This window comes from Homo sapiens, chromosome X (genome assembly GCF_000001405.40).
Source record: "Homo sapiens chromosome X, GRCh38.p14 Primary Assembly".
Taxonomy (NCBI): Eukaryota; Metazoa; Chordata; class Mammalia; order Primates; family Hominidae; genus Homo; species Homo sapiens.
In genome coordinates, this window is record NC_000023.11 from 77,665,534 (window position 1) to 77,688,413 (window position 22,880).

General features: G+C 35.1%; 1 protein-coding gene across 11 annotated transcripts in view; it reads right to left on the reverse strand.

Moving 5' to 3' along the window:
* ATRX (ATRX chromatin remodeler) overlaps window positions 1–22,880 on the reverse strand; it is a 281,337-nt gene that overhangs the window by 160,654 nt on the left and 97,803 nt on the right. For 7 of the 11 annotated variants that reach the window (XM_005262156.5, XM_006724666.5, NM_138270.5 and 4 more), the window contains 3 exons: window positions 19,406–19,473; window positions 15,987–19,060; window positions 10,693–10,765 (listed from right to left, as the gene is read on the reverse strand). In XM_005262156.5, coding sequence (XP_005262213.2) covers window positions 10,693–10,765; window positions 15,987–19,060; window positions 19,406–19,473 — 3,215 coding nt within the window. The remainder of the gene's footprint in view (window positions 1–10,692; window positions 10,766–15,986; window positions 19,061–19,405; window positions 19,474–22,880) is intronic. The other 4 variants (XM_005262157.6, XM_017029604.3, XM_017029601.3 and 1 more) reach the window with 1 other exon arrangement.

Here is a 22,880-nt window from a genome sequence, read left to right on the forward strand (position 1 = left end):
TGCTAATGGAAAAATCAATTACTAAAAGCATAAGAAAACACTACTTTTACTCCTACCATCATATGTTAAAATAAAATATATTCCTAGGAAATCTCCATGTTTATACTCAAGAAAAATAACTGAAAATGTAAGATTAAAGCAATCATACAGCTTTTGTGCAAGACAAGATGTTTTGATAAGTCTGGGTATCCTTTCAATATAAATTCACAAATCACGGTAACAAGAAAATAGCTTATAGAAAAGTTCAAAAAGAAGATGGCATGATCCTGACAGTCTGCCATGAGCTAATCTGTATGGGATAAACATGTTCTCTGCAATCAAGACTGACTCTCTAAGTCAAAAACTTGTAGCTGAGATGATGGAACATTTGTTATTTCTGGATTTGAAACCCCTCTTTACACTTCTTAGCACGCACCCACATTTCAATGAAGAATTCATTCAATGGCAGGAGATATTAATGCATGTTAGCTGCCTCCTAAATTTTATTTGACAGATTGTTCATTACTATTCATATTCAAAGATGCATAGCAAAGGCATCTAAATAGACTGAAGCAAAATAGGCAATCACTTCCATAAATGTTTATTATATGCCTTTTGGTGCTTTCTCCCTCAAACAGATGGATCAGGAATATTTAGACAACACACAGAATCATCAATTGCTAAAGGAAGCCACAGATGGGTTTGCTTTTCTGAGGATTTCTGCCCTGATTTGTATTTCAATAAAGTGAAGATTAGATCACACCAATTTAAATCTTACTAAAGTTGAGCTATAAAGTTTTGCTCTTACATTTCTAGATCAATGGTTTGCACACTGTAAGCTTTCTTAAAATGGGACAAATACAGGGTTGCCAACTTTTCATTTTGCCAAAAAAAGAAATTTAAACCCAAATTCCATTTACTTTCATCATTTATAAAATAAAGACTATTTACAACATACCCTCCCCAAATTAGGAAACAGTTTCAGAATAAAGGGAAACCCTTTAAATTGAAGATATACATCTTTCTGGAAAAATTCTCTAAAATCATCTTTTTAAAAAAAATTTCAGCCAGGTGTGGTGGCTCATGCCTGTAATCCCTGCACTTTGGAAAGCAGAGGCAGGCAGATCACCTGAGGTCAGGTGTACGAGACTAGCCTGGCCAACATGGCGAAACCCTGTCTCTACTAAAAGTACGAAAATTAGCTGGGTGTGGTGGCGCATGCCTGTAATCCCAGCTACTCAGGAGGCTGAGGCAGGAGAATTGCTTGAACCCGGGAGGCGGAGGTTGCAGTGAGCTGAGATCATGCCATTGCACTCCAACCTGAGCAACAAAACTCTGTCTCAAAAGAAAAAAAAAATTCATGTATGTTTATTATAATGTTGTCTGCAATAGCAAAGGGTGAGAAAACGTTTAAACATTCAATATCAGAAACTGATTAAATAGTATTTTCACATGATTATCCATAAGAGATAGAAATTAAAATGATATTCTAAATAAGATTAAGATAGAAAATATTTATTAATATTCAGTGAAAAAGTAATTTATAAACCACAATATAGTTCTATTTAAAAAAAAAAAACTTCTAAAATTTGTATGTCCCTAAAAAAGACTAGAAGATACTAAAATAAAATGTTAGCAGCAAATTTCTATGTCTGGCACAGCACTTTTTTTTTCTGTTGGTATATATTAAAACCATCTTTAGTAATACTACACTGTCATTTCTCATGGACCAGAAAAACTTCCTCAAACTAATCTGAATAATGAATTTTGGGACGAATAAATATGTGTGTGTGTGTGTGTGTGTGTGTGTGTGTGTGTGTGTGTGTGTGTATAAAATATGTGAAGCATTGAATACTGGATTAGAAATGGAAAAACACAGTTTACTTGCAAGTACAAGATCTCATACCATCATTTGGGTTGAACACTAAACAGCCAACAAAAATACAATTCCTAATCTAGTTACTTGAAAGCCTAGTTCAACAACCTGATTTCAGTTTGTGTTTACAAGTTCAAAAAAAGTCTTTAAAAAATTCCTATTAACTATAAAGATTTGGTTGTTAATTGTAGGAAATCACACAATTTTTCTTCTTTCAAATCCCAGTCTCCAAAGAATATGTCTACTAAAAAACGGAAAGTCACAATACATAAACCTACTTAATGCATTCTCAAGTTCTGGATTGTCATTAGACTAAGAAATATGATGTACATGAGATAAAATACAATTGTATACCTATTAATAAATCATATAAAGTGAAATCAGATCCACATACTGTAGAAGTACAACTTAGCGACAACTTTCAGTAAGATCATAACATATAGAACAATCATAGTACATTCAGAAGCCAAAAAATTACAAACTTCAGGTCATTTTTCTCCAAATCACAAATTATATACAGAGTGATGGAGACTACCTGGCTAAAGGTTTTATTTTTGCCCTCTAACACCTTTTGTCCAAAGGAAAACCTAATTTATAGCTATGTAAATTAAGCCCTAAAAAGAATAAGTTGAATCATTTTGCATAAGTTATTACTGAAGTCCAATATGTCAAAGACCCAGTCTACCATAAACCTAGCCTATAACATAATAACCTACATTTCAAAATTAGAACTTAATTTAACGGACCTAAGGGCTGAGGCTGACCTTCAACCTGAGTAGCCAGCAAGCATGTTGAAGTGAGATGTGTCCCATCTACAAAGCCTGCTGTGAGATGCTTTAAAGGGAAACTCCACTACCTTAACTCTGGAGTCACGGGCCACAGAGACTTCAAGGATATCATCACTTGAGAACCAGCTGAGGCTGGCAAAGCATCATTTTGGAGGCCTCGGCTGGACCCATGCTGGATCATGCTGGATGTATAGTCATGATCCCTAGTTGATTCTGTTTGCTCTGAAGTTTCCTTTCTTGAGGCTTTCCAGGACGATGTACTGCCCCTGGAATCTCAATGCTCAATATTACATCTTGGGGCAGGTGTAGCATCCAAAGCAGTCACGACTCTATCAGAAGCATTAGAGGCACAGGCCGTGCCACTCTTGTGGCAGAAAACCTGGGCAGAGCCAGAAGTAATGGAGCCACTCCTCCATTTTCCTGAAAGGGAGGGAAGGGAGAGGGGGAGAAAGCAAAACAATATGGGAGGAAGGGTAAAAACCCACAAACAAACAATGATCGGAACTGGCGCATGAGAAAATAAATAGGACCCCAAAACCCACATATACTAAGTCTTCCAAAGTACATAATGAACACCAAGATAACACCATTACTAAAAGAAAGCACAAATAAAATAATAAGAAGTGAGCCCAACAACACAATGACAAACAAGCAATCGGGGAAAAAAAAAAAAAAACATAGGAGAAAGCCAAGAAAGCCTTTATTAACTCCAATCCTATCTAGAAAGGAAATGAGTAATGTCGCTTGTTTAAACGCTCAAACAGGAAAGGAAAGTAAACCACCTCTTGCTGATAGGTAAATCAATAATTCGAAATGTTGAGTTTCTTAAAATGCAATCAAGAGAAGGACCTCCTGCACCAGGGAGCTTTCGAGCCATTAACAAAAGCAATACAAAATGTTAGAGCCAGAAGGACAAACCTCAGAGTACAGCTTTGTCATTCTACAGATGAGGAAACAGGCTTAGATATAGGAAATGACTCAGCCAAAGAAACAAAGCTAACTAGTGGCAAAGTCAGGAGTAGAACCTAAGATCCTAAATCCCAATCTGCTATTAATTTTACTGTGCCAGCACTATACCCTCTACTTGTTAATACTTGTATGCTAATGAGTGCCTGGGCAAATACAGATGATGCCTTTTTTTTTTTTTTCCAGACAAAGTCTTGTTCTGTCACCCAGGCTGAAGTGCAGTAGCACAATCTCAACCTGGAGTGAGGGAGGCTCACTGCAACCTCTGCTTCCCAGGTTCAAGCAATTCTCCTGCCTCAGCCTCCCGAGTACGTAGGACTACAGGTGTGTGCCACCACACCCAGCTAATTGTTGTAGTTTTATTAGAAACAGGCTTTCACCATGTTGACCAGGATGGTCTCAAACTCCTGACCTCAGGTGATCCATCCACCTCAGCCTCCCAAAGTGCTGGGATTACAGGCATGAGCCACCGCGCTGACCCCCATTTTTAAAAATAAGTGTATTTCGCATATTTTAAATTTATGTATTTAGAAATGCAAGAACTCAAGCTTTAATTTTTTTTTTAATTTTATTTTAGAGACAGTCTTGCTCTGTTGCCCAGGCTAGAATGTAGTGGCACAAACACATATCCTTGTAACCTTGAACTCCCGGGCTAAAGCAATCATTCTGCCTCGGTATCCTGAGTAGCTGGAACTACAGGCATGTACCACCATGCCCGGCTAATTTTTTCTTTTTAGTAGAGACAAGGTATCACTACGTTGCCCAGGCTGGTCTTAAACTCCTGGCCTCAAGTGATCCTCCCACCTCAGCCTCCCAAAGCATTGGGATTGCAAGTGTGAGCCACTGCAACCAGCTTGAGTTTTTAAAGATGATAAAAGGAGTTTTAAACATATTTAATCCAGTATGCACTCTAAAATGCACGATAGGTCATCTGAGATACATTCTACAATGACCATTTTATCTTTTAAGAGGTTCTGAGAACAGGTTTGAAGAAAATTGCTGGAAAAAAATATATTTTTAGAAGGCCAAAATACTGGGCATCCATAAACAAGGTGATAAAATTTGCTTAAAAATTGGTTTTTGTGTACAATATCATAATAGAGTACTTAATTTACAGAATTATAAATAAGATAATGGGTTTAAATGCATGCTCTTTAGAGGTACCTAAGTATATGTAGTACTAAAGCATCACACCATATTTTAAAGTTTGATATATAAAATAATTCAAAGGAGTATAGCCAAGGAATGTTAAATATTTTAGTAGGGTGTGAGGCTTTGTTTTAATAAATGTCATATATTTAAAGGATAGGAATTAAAAAACAAAACATGTGGCCGGGCACGATGGCTCACGCCTGTAATCCCAGCAATTTGGGAGGCCAAGGCAGGCAAATAACCTGAGGTCAGGAGTTTGAGACCAGCCTGGCCAACATTGCAAAACCCCATCTCTACTAAAAATACAAAAATTAGCCGGGCATGGTGGCAGGCACCTGTAGTCCCAGCTACTTGGGAGGCTGAGGCAAGTGAATCACCTGTACCCAGGAGGCGGAGGTTGCAGTGAGCGGAGATCATGCCACTGCACTCCAGCCTGGGTGACAACGCGAGACTCTGTCTCAAAAAAAAAAAAAAAGTTATGGAATATGGAATTCTTCAAAATTCATATTAGTATATATTTCAACTCAGGTTCAAAATTAGTATCTTAAGTTTTCTATTAAAAAATATGACTGGCCAGGCACGGTGGCTCATGCCTGTAATCCCAGCACTTTGGGAGGCTGAGGCGGGTGGATCACTTGAGGTCAGGAGTTCGAGAGCAGCCTGGCCAACATGGTGAAATCTCATCTCTACTAAAAATTCAAAAATTAGCCAGGTGTGCTGGCGGGTGCCTGTAATCTCAGCTACTCAGGAGGCTGAGGCAGGAGAATTGCTTGAAACAGGGAAGTGGAGGCTGCAGTGAGCCGAGATCATGCCTCTGCACTCCAGCCTGGGTGACAGAGTGAGACTCTGTCTCAAAAAAAAAAAAAAAAAAAAATATATATATATATATATATATATATATAAAACTAAGGCATAATGATCTGTACCCCAAAATGGTGGAATTCACGAGATAATAATGAAGTCACCAAATAATCAAAAAGCTAAACAATGGTTTGAAATATTTTTTTTTAGTCGCAAATCCTACAATGTGGGTAGTTAATGAAAAGTAGCTCTGTATCCTTTTTGGTGAGGGTACCAGGAAAATTAATATCAAATGACTTTTTAAAAAAATCTTGGAGGTAGAACAATAAAAACTATGAAATTAAGAACCCACAGTTATTAATAATTCATACAGACTTATGTTTCAATAGGCCTGAATTATTACATGTGTATTCCCTAATTTTATACAAAAATCTAAACCAGTTTTAGAGGCATTTTAACAAGAAAAAATATATTCAAATTAATATGGGAAATTTGATCATATTAAATAACTAGTTCAATATTTTTATACTTGAAAAATGAAAACACAGAATTTACTCATCTCAAATTTCAAAATTTTATTTTGAAATTTCAAAGTTAAAGACAAAGGATATTAAGTCAGAAAAATGAATCACTTTTCCTAACACTAGAAATCCAAACTCTTCCTTTTTCTCTTTTTCTTTTTTTTCTTTTTTGAGGAAGACCTATTTCTTATTTTCTGAAAGTCCCAATATCACCAAAGAACAGAGAACAAGAAAGAAACACTGGTTATAATGTTTAAATCTTGACCATAGAAGGACAAAGGTCACCACTACACATCATATGTCTTTCCTGACTGGGAATTCTAGTAGAAAAAAGAAAGCCAGTAACAACTACAGCCAGTTCAGATATCTACAAGTAGATCCTATCTACTGGCTGGACACCTGTGTTATACTTAAATGACTTGCAATACTTACCTGTGCTATACAGACAAAGGAAATTGAAAAAAAAATTACCGTAAAATTGCTAGATATTTAAAACCCTTACTCAAATGGAAAAACAAGTAAAATACTTAATTTAAAACGCCACCTTTGTTTTTCAAGTACAATAAAGGAGAATCAAAGCAGTTTTGCTAACGAAACAGAACTACCACAAAAAAAAAATCACAGAAAAAAATTATTCCAAATTTAGCAAATTTGCATAGAGAATAGACAACATGTGTAGGAGACAGACATTTGAAAAAGTGTTTAAAATGAAAGCAAAGTGAACATCAAACGATTAAGGGACTTGTGATACATCCATGCCATTAATTGTGCTGAAATCAGGTAAACAATCATTAAATATCTTCTTAGGCATAAATAACATCCAGAAATCATTAGTTTCCTCCGAAAATATGCTGGATTAACAATACAGAGCCGTCATCAACAGCATACCCACACCAAGCCAGTAGGAAAAAAAAAAATCATTAGCATATTTTCTAGTTTGAAACACAAAATTATCATCAAATGATACAACAACAGTTGGAAATTTAAAATGCTATGGTCTAGTCCCAATATAATTAAATATAACAATGGGACAATTTTTTTTAGCAATCTCCACATCAAATTTCGCTTCTATGAAAAAAAAAGCATTTAGTCGCACCCACAGAGAAATTATGAGAAAAAATGTGGAGTATTACTAGACCCAATTAAGCACATTTCAACAATAAAGTAAATGTGTTTGTTAGGGGAGCAGACATCCATGTAGAAATCTCAGCTCTTAGTCAAAGTTGTCAGGGAGAAAGAATGCTTATTTAGAAAAACCTAGCACTTTGGTCTTTTGCTCTCAAAAGCTCAATTGTAAATATTTCTCACATCCTGCAAAATAAGCGAATAAAGAAATTTCAAAAGATAATTCTTTTTTGGGATAAATGGTCTCTTCAGTGATTGTTCAGTATGCAATCTCTAAAGACAAGCCTAGTTTAATGATCCTCAAAACTAATACTGTTAAAACTTGAACACACTACTATCGTATTACTTGAGGCTCATTCCCAGTACAGATATTAAATTAAAATATATGATATTATTAGAAAATGTTTGGTCAAAATATCCCCAGTTATATTGAACATATAAAGGAATTATGGTGTATTTTCAATGCCAGGCTAATTATTGAATTGAAATAAATTATATGAATAGATGTCTTTTCAGAGAAAGAACCAATTTAAAATCCAACTAACAGGTATTTGAAAGGCCAATGAAACCCTACCCTAATGGCACTTTCAAGTATATTACTTTAAAATTACGTGTATAAATGTGAAAACCTGACAACCTATTTGGTATTATTATTCTGCCATTGAGAAACTACATAAAGCCTAAGCTCTAAATTTTCAGTTATATAAAATTCAAAATATATGATTAGTCTACTTTTTTTTATAAAAAGCTAAACCAGAAACATACAAGTGTTGATCAATCTATAATATTCTGTCCTTGTTCATTAAGTAAATCCAATTAAATAGAAATTAATTTATAGGTTAGACCACTGTCTCATAATATTATACATTTACTTTCAAATATGAGTGACGCTACATAATAGCATGCTAAAACAGAAATGTATTCACATTTACTAAAATATTCAGGATATGACTAAGTTTTTTAAATGCCCCCAAAAGCCATCATAGCTTTAAAACAGAAAAAGTAAATAGTAGTTAAATCTGTTGTAAAACTTTCACACAAATATATATAAGTATATATGTTAGGGGAATTAAAAGTATTTACGTCCTAAATTTCAAAATTTCAAAACTTCTTTGGCTACAAACTAGCCTCTATATTTTAATAACAAATTATGTCAACTCTCATGATATAAAAAAGTAACATTATTATTAAAATTAAATGCTTGAACAAGAAAAAAGGTTTACAAAAATTTATTGCATCCAAATAGTTAACCATTTGCAATAATACACTATCGCTTCATAAACACCAACACTGAAAATGTATTACAATACTGCTAAAAAGACAAAGCATATAAGATTTATACACAATTTACACACAATTGTGTACAAATTTACATACAATTACAATATGCTGTCTACCAAAATACAACCTACTCAAAAATTAGGAAGTTAGAAAAATAATTCTAAGACTTAATCGTGATCTGCAAATGAATTTTTTAAGTTGCTTAGTGCATATTCAAATATGCTCAAATATATAATCTATACTAAAATAGTGCAAGAAAGTATTTGTATCCCCATCATGACTACATAACCCATGGGTATTAGATACCTCTTTGGTATAGTGAATATTAAACAAGTTAATAAATTGTATATTTTATAAAAACAAATTAAACTGAGTATAGAAAGACATGCTCAAGATAAAATTCAATTCTTCTCAAAAGTACTCAACAGGGTTGTATTTTTTAATCACAAATTCAAGGTGGAATTAAAGATACTTTCCAATAAAATACTTGCCAGTTACAGAGAGATACGATCAGGTAACTTAAAAGTTGAAAATGATATTTATATTTTGACAAGCTCTAACACACACAAAAAAATTATACCTTAACAACACTCTTATTTGGTGGTTAAATATGAAATTAAAGTAAATCATTCACAGTTAAATTAAGATATAGAATGTTTAAAACATTATTAGCCTTTGAGTAACATCTGAGGCCTCATGATGTATAGAAAATCAAATAGCAAATATAAATGAAGAAAAATTAAAGCATCTTAAAAAAGAGTAAAATTTTAAATGCTTTCAGTATCTGGCTGTGATGATATAATGTAAAATCCCTGATGAATAAATTGTATGCCCTTATCACTCCATTCTGGAACCTACCACCTATCCCATAAAATAAATGGATATACATTTTTTAATTTAAAAAAGTAGGCAAGCAGAATCTGAATATTTGTGTCCACAATTAAGCTCTATTCAAAACTGTAAAATAAAACTGTTCATTCACCTTAATAAAAACATTCTTCTGTTAATTAGCAGAATGCTGACCTTTGAAACAGAGAAACCTAACAGCATCAGCAAGATACAAAAGAGCGAAACTAACAGCTGAACCCAGGGCATTTACTAAGTCAGTTAATTTCTTACAAAATTATGACAGAAAATTACATGTATATTTTTATGTTTTCTTAATGTTAGAACTTACTATTAGGAATAAATGAATGGTTAATGTAGTGCTCTTTAATGAAATCATCTCAAATCTATCATGGATTTTTTGGTACTAGAATTACAGAAAATTTCGCCCAACTTTTTCTTCTTAAATATAGTAAATTTTTGACAAAAAGTAAAGTCACTTGCCCATGATGACACAGACAGTTGTTAAAAATGTTAGAAATCAGATACCCTTATGCCCATTATTCCAAAATTCCATGCACTATACCATGCTGTCTTCTTGTTGAAGATTATGAGCATGGGGTATGCTATTGTCCAGGAAGTGTTTAAAAGTTATGTTGAAACATTATAGCTATAGTCTTTAATACTGTTGTTTTCCTTATTCTTCACTACACTGATAGTGTCTTTTTTTTTCTTCACCCAGCCACCCCTTACTTAAGTATATCTGTATAGGCTACACTGTTGACATTTAAACCTATTAAGTCTTATTAAAGTAAATGCTCTCATACCGTGTATTTCTATTTTATTTGAAAACTGGTTAAACTCTAACTCAGTCTAGATACCTTGTAAACTGACACTTATTTTGAAAGCAATTTCTTAATCTTAAATATCTGAGTAATCTCTCTTTTTGTTTCTTCTCAACAGGCCTTAATAAATAGGACCACCATATTGGATGGCAATTAACAATAGTCAAATATAGAGGAGATGTCTGTTGTTACCAATTTACTGAGATATGATTTACTTTCATCAATAATCTGTCAAAATAAATTATTCCAAAAAAATTACTGCAGTTTACATAGCAACATAAAATTGACAGTTCTGTATTTATAACACACCCTATGCTAGGTGTGTAAATAATGATATTACTTTCTCTTAAGGTTTCTGAGTTTTAGCCCATTTTCTGGCCTTTCTTTCAAACTTGCAGGAAGACTGTGAGCGAGTCTTTCTAAGGCAGGCACTCCTGGTTTTTACAACCTGCTTGCTGTTCCGTTGCTGCTGTTTGTGCCCATGCCTAGGGTGTGTTATAATCTTTTTAAAGTCCTTACAGATGGAATCATACCTATTCTCAGGATCATTGTCGTCATCATCATCATCCACTGTGACAGGCACTGATTTAGATAAGGCTTCATCTCCTTGAGGGAAAAAAGTGTACTTAAAATTAGCTTTAAATAAGCTATATAATTAAAACCATGTAAAATAAAACTGAAAGCCAAAAACTTTAAAGCAAACTAAGTGGGGTCTAAACTCTGGACTCCAAAATATGAGTAAAAAGCATTCTTATAGAAAACATAACAGGTTATTTGTGAAGTGCCAGCAGTAAAATGATAAATAGCTGGACCTTATATATTTCAGAGTTCCTTCCCAGGGCACAAGGCTTTTAAAGTCCACCCTTCTCAGTAACAATTCTGTATCAACAGCCATCATATTAGCATAAGTTTCTTGCCACAATAACCTTCGTACTGGTCCATTTTAATTTTGACGTTAACTGGTGCTGTATCTTCGAGGAATAGCAAAAACAGTATTAATATTTTGGTAGTAGCAAGTAATTTTAAAATGCAGTTGAATGTGTATGGTATTTGTGACCTGAGTTACCCAGAGATACAGTTCAGTACAGTAAAACTTATTTTCTTATAAAAAGCTGCATTTCTATATTTTGATTAAAAATCTAAAGAGGGCCGGGTGAGGTGGCGCACGCCTGTAATCCCAGCACTTTGGGAAGCCAAGGCAAGCGGATCACCTGAGGTCAGGAGTTCCAGACCAGCCTGGCCAACATGGCAAAATCCCGTCTCTACTAAAAACACAAAAATTAACCAGCCATGGTGGTGTGTGCCTGTAATCCCAGCTACTAGGGAGGCTGAGGCAGGAGAATCACTTGAACCTGGGAGGCGGAGGTTTCAGTAAGCCAAGATCGCACCACGGCACTCCAGCCTGGGTAACAACTCTCTCAAAAAAAAAAAAAAAATCTAAAGAGGTTAAGATTTGGGCATTTCATTCTATATAAATTTTACTTCAAAAGAAAAACTGAAATATTAAACTGTAGGTTAATACTATGCATGCTTAAGTGTTTCAGGAGAAGTATGCTGATGTCTACCGTTTAATCTGAAATGCATCAAAGATTTTAAGGGTATTATACTAAGTGAAAAAAGCCAATCTCAAAAGGTTATATACTTCATGATTCCATTTCAAAATAGCAAAATTACAGTGATAAAGAACAGATTACTAGTTGCCAGATGTCAGGAATGGAGGTAAGGACAGCAGTATCACAAGGGAGCCTTGTGATAATGGAACTGGTTTGATATATCGGTTGTGGTGGTGATTATACAAAGATACACACGTGGTACAACTGCACTGAACTATACTTATACACACACAAATGAGTGCATGTGAAACTGGTGAAATCTGAATAAATCTTCAGTTTTCTGGTTTTGACACTGTACTAGAGTTACAAGATATTACCCTTGAGGGAAACTAAGTAAAGGTTATCTGAGACCTCCCTGTATTTTTTTTTTTTTTTACAAATTTCTGTGGATTTATAATTATGCAAAATAAAAAGCTAAAAAGGCAAAAAAAAGATATACTGATGGATAGACAGAAGGATATATAGATATGTTATCAAGAAAATACAGTATAATATTAATGGTAGATGCTTTGGTGTATACTTAAATGTTTTTCACAATAAAATGTTGAAGGGAAATGGAGGAAAAAATCTATAAAGGAAACAGACACCTACAGGCTCAGGATAGAAATACACTAAATAAGGCCAGGCGTGGTGGCTCAAGCTTGTAATGCCAGCATTTTGAGAGGCTGAGGCAGGCGGATCACTTGAGGTCAGGAGCTCGAGGCCAGCCTGGCCAACATGGAGAAACCCTGTCTCTACTGAAAATACAAAAATTAGCCAATGTGGTGGCATGCACCTGTAATCTCAGCTACCCAGGAGCCTGAGGCATGAGAATCGCTTGAACCCGGAAGGCAGAGGTTGCAGTGAGCAGGGATTGCAGTGAGCCGAGATTGCACCACTGCACTCCAGCCTGGGTGGCAGAGTGAGACTTCAACTCAAAAAAAAAAAAAAGAGACAGACAGAGAGAGAGAAGAGATTTCATAATATCCCAGCAAACTCACAATAAATATCTCATTCAAACAGACCAATCTTCAAATGAAATATAATTAGTAACAGTACTGTCACTCCCTCTTTACTACACCTTTCAAAATTTGACCTATCCTTTGAAGTTCAAATGCCAACTATTCTTCTAAATATTTCCCCAAATATTTAAGTAGTTCACTTGCCATTTATTGTGTAGCCCCATTATAGTTTGTTGTGTTTGTTGCTGTTTCTGTTTTGAGACGGAGTCTCGCTCTGTCGCCCAGGCTCAAGTGCAGTGGCGCGATCGTGGCTCACTGCAATCTCCATCTCCTGGGTTCAAGCGATTCTCCTGCCTCAGCCTCCCAAGTAGCTGGGATTACAGGTGTGCGCCACTACACCTGGCTAATTTTTTTGTATTTTTAGTAGAGATGGGGTTTCACCATGTTGGCCAGGCTGGTTTTGAACTACTGACCTCAGATAATCCACCCACCTTGGCCTCCCAAAGTGCTGGGATTACAGGCCCCATTCTAGTTTTATATCTTTCTTCTGTTACTTTTTTTAATGATTTCTCTATGTCTGTCTTGCATTAAACTGCAATCTCCTAGGACCATGTTCTTCATCTTGGTTATTCATGCCATTACCAAGCCCCAATTTCTAGGAAAATACTGTAGCTGTAATATGATACCCAAATACTGCGAATAAACTGGAATCCTCTAAACTCAATAGGGGGCAGGGTTTTTCTTTTAACCTTCTAAAACTGTGACCTAAAATTAAGTTAGACAGAGGAGTACATAAATTCAGCATGCTTACATAAGCATGTAAGTAAATTCTGAAGGAATATCATAACACTGGCTCACACGCAAACTTATCTTTAAAAACAGAACTTTTTACAGCGCTTATTTTCAAGGCACTCATATTCTATTCTACTTGTTTCTATTGACAAGGCCCAATTTTTCACAGGTTAAATTCCCTAACAAATTTATCTTCTTTCTTATTTCATCCCAAATAATCAGCTTAGCCCCCAAAAATATCCAGGGTAAAGAAAATCTCAACAAGGCTTATTTCACCAAGCAGTTGAAGGATTGGAATTTGCTGAAGTGACGAATTCTCAAAGTTTCTCTTGATACACACCTGAGAAAAAGTTTACTCCCCATCAGCCTATTTGTCCTTCAGATCAAAGTTAAATAAATCAAAATGGAACACAGTGATCTAGATCAGTGCTGAGATAAGTAATTATCAAGAGATGCATCAATTGAGTATTTGCCATATATCACCATCCCTTCTTAAGGCCTAATGAATTCATATTAATTATTACACTAAATATTAATAATTCTCAACATGAGAGGTGCATAACAGAAACTTTCATAGGTATCAATAAATCAAGTGAGATCTTAAGAAAAGTAGTAAAATACTTGAAATCAAACATACTGATTTCACCAGTGAAACTGTTTAATCACAGAAACCAATTTTCCAAAGTTTAAAAATAGCCAGACTAAGAAAAAAAGAGAGAAGATCCAAATAAATAAAACCAGAAATAAAATTAGCTCAGTGACATATAATTTTTAATGGATTTTAACTAATTTTTAAACACAATTTATTATTCTTAAACTCTAATCCTTAATAAGGATTTTCACAGCTAACCTAACAACTAAAACATTGATTTGACATCAAAGTAAATATTAGATTCTGTATTTTTAATATAAGTCCACAATCCCTTATATATAATTTTGAAATCTAAAACACTCTCAAAATGGAAAGTTTCTGTAAGAGGGTACCAAAGACAATCTGGCAGCAAAACCTGGTCTAAACTGCTTATTCCTTTAAATGTGAATCTTCAAATGTTTTGCTGCAGAAATACTATGTGTTTGATTATCTGGTGCTGCATCAGGCCCCACTGGAGCTTTTATAAAATATATAGTAACTTCTCTCTATTATTTTTCTAAAAACCAAAAAGTTGCAAATTCTGAAACACAACAGACCCCAAGAATTTCAGGTAAGAAACTGTGAACTTGAAGTTACAATAGCCACACAAACAGAGCTCCATCTAGTCATCTGATATAGCAGAGCATTCAATTGAAACACACACACTGCATATCACATGTGGTTTTCAAGTCAAGTCATAAGTACTCCATAAAAGAAATGTAAAGTTTTATTAAAAAACAAGATTTTGCTGGGCACAGTAGCTCATGCCTGTAATTCCAACACTTTGGAAGGCCGAGGTGGAAGGATTGCTTGATGCCAGGAGTTCAAGATCAGCCTGGGTAACATAGCAAGACCTCATCTCTACAAAATTAAAAATTAAAATTTAAAAAATAGCCAAGATTCAAATTAATTCCATTAAAATCCAATTGGGATAAATTGAAAACTGTAACATAAGAACTGGAAGGAAAAATTTTTAAATTCTACCTATGTTGGAAATACAATTTTATGTAAAACCCACTTTATAAACATTTTTAAATAAATTCTGAGTATCCATAGAACTGACAGGTCTTACTGACTAAAAAAAAAGACAAATGACCAATACACATTTATTATACAACTGATTTTTAAAATAACTTCAATAATAAAAACTTATTTTTAAAATTATTTTTCATAAATTTTAAAGATTTTAATTAATTCATAAAAATATTTTCATTCACCAGCTGACCCAAACTTTAATGTTCCTAGTACTCTACCTCATCAGGGTAGGCTAATCCAGCTAATGTTTGGATTTTCTTCCTTCATTTTGACAGTGTTTTTAAAAGAAAAACATCTGTTCATGTCATTAGAAACTAGTTAATAAGCATCAACAAAGGGTTTTAATGAGGTAAATTAAAAATAATTAAAGGGGATTTCATGAGACACAAAGTTATCTGTTCAAACTTAAAAAGCCATATGCATGGCAGTTAAAATTTTGACACACCATGTCATACCAGTACCAAGCACTCACTTCCATTATATAACTAAATAGCTACTGAACCACTGGCACCAGTCCGCTTTTCCTTCTGCTCATTACTCCAGAGAAAAGCACTAAACATTGATAAAGAAATTTTGTCATTTACTCAACAAATTTGAGATCCCTGATACTGAATACTAGCAATGTTCAAAATATCTTCCAATGGCAGCATAAAAATAAATAGGGAAACTTTTTTTAATAAACTCCTAAATAATTTTTAAGTGGTATTCTCCTAAGTAGTAACCCTAAATTTGATTAGCTTCAGAGGAAATTAAACAATGTAGTAACTCAAGAGGGGGAAGTACAAATTATGAATTTTTTATTTATTTTTGCATACCTGAAGATTGGCAAAATCCAGTATGTGAAGACAGCACTAAATTTTCAGTCACAGGCTTAATTTTCTGTTCATCGCTGCTTCCCTCACCTATAGAATTCTGATCATCATCTTCTATATCAGAAGAAGATGAGGATGTAATGTCAGCTTGCTTCCTTTTAGTGCTTGTTCTTAGGGAGTTTCTCTTTTTCTCCTTGACAATGACTGCCTTCTTTTTAGATGAAGTTCTTTGCTTCTTCTTTTTATTATCTTCAGAACTTTCCTCAGCATCAGATGATGATGAGCCACTTTGTATTTCCTTAGTATTTCTCTTTGAACTTAAATTTCTTCTTTCCCTCAATTCTATTCTTTTCAGTCTCTTATCAGAAGAGTTACAACCATCTTCTTTCATGGAATATTTCTCAGTATCAGATGATGAACAATCTTGTCTCTTCCTTGAACTCTTTCCAAGCAACTTGCACCTTTTCTTCTCTCTACCATATGCTCCATTCTTACTCTTTTTATCCTCTGAAGAGTCACAACTATCTCCTTTCCCTGTTGACTTCTCAGCATAATCAGATAATTCATCCTTCTTTTTAGAAGTTTTATCTCTTATTTTTTTACTTTTCTTTTCTCCATCAGTTGTTCCATTCTTAATTTGTTTTATGCCCTTAGGAAAATGACAAATTTCTTCTCGCTCAGGTAACTTTTCAGTGCCATCAGATGAAGATTCATACTGTTGTTCCATTTTAATTACTTTTTTCTTAAAGTCTGAAGGTTTCTTTTTTTCTTCAGTTCCCTTTTTGCTCTGCTTTTTATCATCTTCAGAAGTTTCATCGCTCTGGTCTTTCTTTAGGAATTTCTCTGCAATATCAGATAAGCCATCCTGTACTTTTTTACATGTTTTGGTTTTGAGATGCTTGCTCTTTTCTTTAGTTTCAGCAACTTTTCTAACTTCCAAAGAAGTAAAACTCTCCTCTTTCCCAGAAAGCTTATCGACACCATCAGTGGAAGCACTTGCTTGCTGCTTCTTAGGAAGTCGATCTCTTAATTCCATGATGGTCGTGTCTTTATCAACTGTGCCTTCTGCTGAAGAGAAAGTCTCTCTCTCTTGTTTTCTTTCAGCATCATCAGATGATCCTTCTTGTGAGGTCTTCAAATTTTTGTGCCCTTGATTATCCATTCCTTTTTTGCTGTGTTTCTCATCTTCAGAAGAGTCAAAATCTTTTGTATTTGGAATTCTTTTTTTGGTGGTTCTGGCAGCACCAATTTTACTCATGCTCTTTATCTCTTTTTCTAATTCTGAGTCATAATTAGAAGACTCAGACTGGGTTTGTCGTTTCTTTTTAGAAATTATAGAGCTCTTAGCTGATTTGCCCTTTTTAGTATCAAAATCTGAGCCAGATGTAGAACTTTTTCGTTTCCTTTTTCCTTTATCATCTTTCCCCGCCTGAGTCTTTAAATCATACAAAGTCTTATGGTTTGTATGAATTTCATTAATATCAGTATCTGAAGAAGAACTGTGACTCATCCTGCTCACCTCTTTGAGGATTGCTAGCATTTCATCAGAATCTGAATTTTGATCCACAGTCTCTGATTGCTTAGATTTTGGCAATTTATTAGGCTTAGGATTATCTATAGCACTGTCAGAAGAATTACGCTTATCCTTTTTTCTCACTGGAACTGATAGTTTTTGTTTCTCCTTAACTGTTTCATTACATTCTTCATCTGAATTAGATGTTACAGGGTTAGTTTCTGTCGGTCGCCTCAAGGGTGTAGTCTTTACACGTGGGGATCTTCGAAGATCAGATTCCTCTAAAAGTAATGAAACTTCATTTTCAACCAAATGCTCATTATCACTGTTTTCCTGTCCAAGTCCACATTTCTCTAACTTGGGGTTCAGACCACAACTTTTATAGCCATCTTTATCTTGTGGAACTTCCTGACAATCAGCACCTTTAATTGGGGAATTAGAAAGGGAAACAGGAGTGAGTTTAACATATAATTCTTTTGTTACTTTAGCTGTAGTTTTTGATTTAATACCTCCTCTGTTGTCTTTTGAAGAAATATTTAATTTTACAGATGAACTCTCCACTTCTTGTTCAGTTCCACTGCTGCCATCCCCTTGATGATCAACTGAACTCTGAACTTCCATAGCAGTCTCAAGATTCTCAAAAATGTCTTCTGGAACTGAGGAAGGAACAGACACAATATCCATGTCTAAATCTTCAGAAGTGTTGGCAGGTTCATATTGAGGTTCTTCTTTTCTATCAGATTTCTTATGTTCACCACCGGTACTTTTATTTGTTCTTTGTTCCTCTGTTGGAACATTCTGATGCATGTGCTCACTATCTACCTGTTTTCTTGAAAGTTTAGCTTCTGACTTTGAAATATCCTTCTTTTCCAAAGCACAAGGTTTTTCTCCTTTTCGTGCTTTTGTTTCAAACTTAGCATCTATGACTTTATGCTCTTTGGTATTTTTCTCTTTGTTTACAGCATCCATCGCTCGAAACTCGGAATTTAAGTCTTCTTCCAATGCAAGATGAGCCTTCTTAATATCAGCCAACACAGACTTAAAAGCCTTAAGCTGACGTAATTTTGTAGCAGAACTGATTTCTGAATTATCTGTTGCCTGCTTTAAAAATTTAACATAACTGGAGTTCATGTTGGCTGTGGTCTCAATCAGTTTTTTTGCCTTCTTAATCATCTCTTTGGGCACAATTAGTGCGGAATAAGAGTAGGTTACAGAGCCAGAACAGGAATCATCTAATTTCTTTTCTTCTCCATTACAATTTGAACTAGTCTTCTTTGGAGAAAATCTGGATGTATGTTCATATACTTTATTACTCTTTTCACTGTCAACTTTTATCTTCTTCTTATTTTGCTGCAACAACTGTTCTAAATTCTCAAATACGCTGTTACATGCAGTGACCAAGTCCAACAAAGGCTCTGGGTGACAAATGTAGCAATACCATTGGTTGTTTTCATCCATTATTGTGGACAACTCCTTTCGACCAAGGTTGCGTAGAATGCATTTCTTGCAGAAAGCATTATGGCAAAAGTCACAACAAATCAAGTTTCCACCTTCCGCACACCACCTGAAATGTTTTAAAGATTAAAACATTATTCCCTTCTTTCAGGAAACTGAAAAGATATGTAAAAAAATAAAAATAAACATTATTCCCAACAAAACTCATTTTAATCTCTTTGTTATAATGCAATTTAAATTTTACTGCCAGTAATTTTAGTGGTAATTTAGGTCATCTGCTTACTCTTTATTAGAAACTTAAACTAGACATAAATCCAGGGTTTTATGGAAAAGAACAACCTTTCATTAAAGACATCAATGACGATACTATGAAAGACAAACCTCATAAATGATTATGTAACAATTCCTCCCAAAAGTAGGAAACACTGAATGTTAGCTCATCTATATTACCTACCTACATTGTTCATCCATTCCATCTGAGTCACGGCTAATATCATCACTCATGTAATACTTAAAGCAATTCTATTAAAAGAAAAGAGGAAGGGGAAATTTAATTCGAAATTGATAACATTCATAAAGGACAAAAACTTTATTTTTTTAAGTAATTAAAAACACTGGGGAAAATCTCCAGGACACTGGTGTGGGCAAAGATTTATTGAGCATATTACACAAGCTCAGGCAACCAAAGCAAAAATTGGCAAATGAGATCACATCAAGTTAAAAAGCTTCTGCACAGCAAAGGATACAATCAACAAAATGAAAAGACAACCCACAGAATGGGAGAACATTTTGCAAAGTGCCCATCTGACAATGGATTAATAACCACAATATATAAAGAGCTCCAACAATTCTATAGGAAAAAATCAAATAATCCAATCAAAAAATGGGCAAAAGATTAGACTGGACATTTCTCCAAAGAAGACATACAAATGACAAACAGGCATATGAAAAGCTGCTCACCATCATTGATTATCAGAGAAATGTTAATCAAAACTATAATAAGATATCATCTCACCCCAGTTAAAATGGCTTATATCCAAAAGACAGGCAATAACAAATGCTGGCAAGGATGTGGAGAAAAGGGAACCCTTGTATACTGTTGGTAGGAATGTAAATGAGTACAATCACTATAGAAAACAGTTGGGAGATTCCTCAAAAAAACTAAAAATTGAGATACCGTATGATCCAGCAATCCACCTGCTGAGTATATACACAAAAGAAAGGAAATGAGTATATCAAAGAGATACTGGCACTCCTATGATTGTTGGGCCACTGTTTACAATAGCAAAGATTTGGAAGCAACCTAAGTGCCCATCAACAGATAAGTAAATAAATAAAATGCGGTACATATACACAATGGAGTACTATTCAGCCATAAAAAAGAATGAGATCCTGTCATTTGCAACAACATGGAAGGAACTGGAGATCATTATGTTAAGTGAAATAAGCCAGGCACAGAAAGACAAACACTGCATGTTGTCACTTATAAGTGGGATCTAAAAATCAAAACAATTGAACTCATGGATGAACTAATGAAGGATGTCATGAAGGACAGTTACAAGAAGCTGGGAAAGGTAGTGAGGGGATAGGGAGGAGGTGGGGATGGTTAATGAGTACAAAAAAATACAAAGAATAAGACCTACTATTTAATAGCACAATAGGGTGACTACAGTCAATAGCAACTTAATTGTACATTTTTAAATAACTTAAAGAATGTAATTAGATTGCTTGTAACTCAAAGGATAAATGCTTGAGGGGATGGATACCCCATTTTCCACAATGTGCTTATTTTACATTGCACGCCAGTATTAAAACATCTCATGTATGCCATAAATATATACACCTACCATGAACCCACAAAAATTTTAAAAATACAAACAATTTTTTTTTAAAAAAGGGAGTATGTGTGCATGTTTCAGAGACTCAAAGCAAAAACACTGCACTACTGCAGCCGGGTACAGTGGCTCATGCCTATAATCCCAGCACTCTGGGAGGACGAGGAGGGTGGATCACCTGAGGTCAGGAGTTCAAGACCAGCCTGGCCAACATGGCGAAACCCAGTCTCTACTAAAAATACAAAAATTAGCCGGGCGTGGTGGCAAGCGCCTGTAATCCCAGCTATTCTAAAGGTTGAGGCAGGAGACTCACTTGAACCCTGAGGCGGAGGTTGCAGTGAGCCAAGATCACGCCATTGCACTCCAGCCTGGGCAACAGAGTGACACTCCGCCTCAAAAATAAATAAATAAATAAAATAAACACTGCTACCCACTACCCAATGTCTGTATTTTCCAGACATCTAACTATCTCAAGAATTAATGCCTTGAAACAGATTTCCATACACTCAAGTACCACTATTCCTTATTTAAAAGTGTATAAAAGATTTTTGGCTGGGTGTTTGGTGGCTCATGCCTGTAATCCCAGCACTTTGGGAGGCTGAGATGGGTGGATCACTTGAGGTCAGGAGTTCAAGACCAGCCTGGCCAACAGGGTAAAACCCCGTCTCTACTAAAAATACAAAAATTAGCCAGGTGTGGTAGTGGACACCTGTAATCCCAGCTACTCGAGAGGCTGAGGCAGGAGAATCACTTGACCCAGGAGGTGGACGTTGTCGTGAGCCAAGATCGCGCCACTGTACTCCAGCCTGGGCGACAGAGCAAGACTCCGTCTCAAAAAAAAAAAAAAAAAAAAAAAAAAGTTTACAAAAGATTTTAGTAAAGCTAATTTCTGGTCTCATACATCTAGCTACTAAAGCTCTACATAAAAATGTATTAGATTTGGGTACTTAACAATTTTAATAGCCACCATATACAAACAGCTACTATGTATACAGCTAAACAATTAATCTATATTATCTTTAAATACCAAATACCTACCATGCAAGGTAGGACATATTATGAGAGAAAAGGCTAACTTTCATTAATATGTAAATAAATCTAAAGTCATACAACTAGTAAGAGGCAAAGCTGTTATTCAAATCCAAGTTTGACTGACTTCAAAGTCTTTCCAGTGGGACTGCAGAAAGGGAAAAGGTGCTCACTGATACAAACTACCGATTAGTGAAATGGCCTAGGCTCAACAGACTGGTTCTTGAAAAAAGACAATCACATAGATAAGAAAACAGAAAGGCAAATACATGTCACAAATCCAGCAATATTAGATTCTACTGTCACAATTTAAAATGAAACTCTCTAATACATACCCTAGATAGGCCCCTGGCTGAACTGAATTCAAGGAAAGGAGGGATACAAATTGCTAAAGAACAAAGTACAGTTCATTTAAGCATGTCTGAATCTATCAAAAATTCATGCAAGAAAAGATCTAGAGCTAGAATTCCAAGGAAAACATGGCCTGCCACTGCATTTCAAAGGCAGCTTTTTATTGGGAAACAAACTAACATAGGATTAATCTTAGCAGGAATATGAGTTAAGAAAACCATAACCTTGACATTTATAGGTAGGTAGGTAGTTACTGAGACGAAATTTCCCTCTTGTTGTCCAGGCTGGAGTACAATGGCGCGATCTCGACTCGCTGCAACCTCCACCTCCCGGGTTCAAGCGATTCTCCTGCCTCAGTCTCCCAAGTAGCTGGGATTACAGGGACCCGCCACCATGCCCGGCTAATTTTTTGTATTTTTAGTAGACACGGGGTTTCACCATGTTAGCCAGGCTGGTCTCGAACTCCTGACCTCAGGAGATCCACCTGCCTCAGCATCCCAAAGTGCTAGGATTACAAGCATGAGCCACCATGCCAGGCCCACATTTATAGATATTTAAAATTAACTCCAAGGTATTACTAACAAAAAAGTGGCACAGACTGTTAAAATTATAATCAACACATAAAAAACATTTTTAATTCTATCATCTCCAAGTTATGTCAAAACCCTGCTCCACATAGATAGTTTACATTTGGGGAAGTAGGATATATAAGGG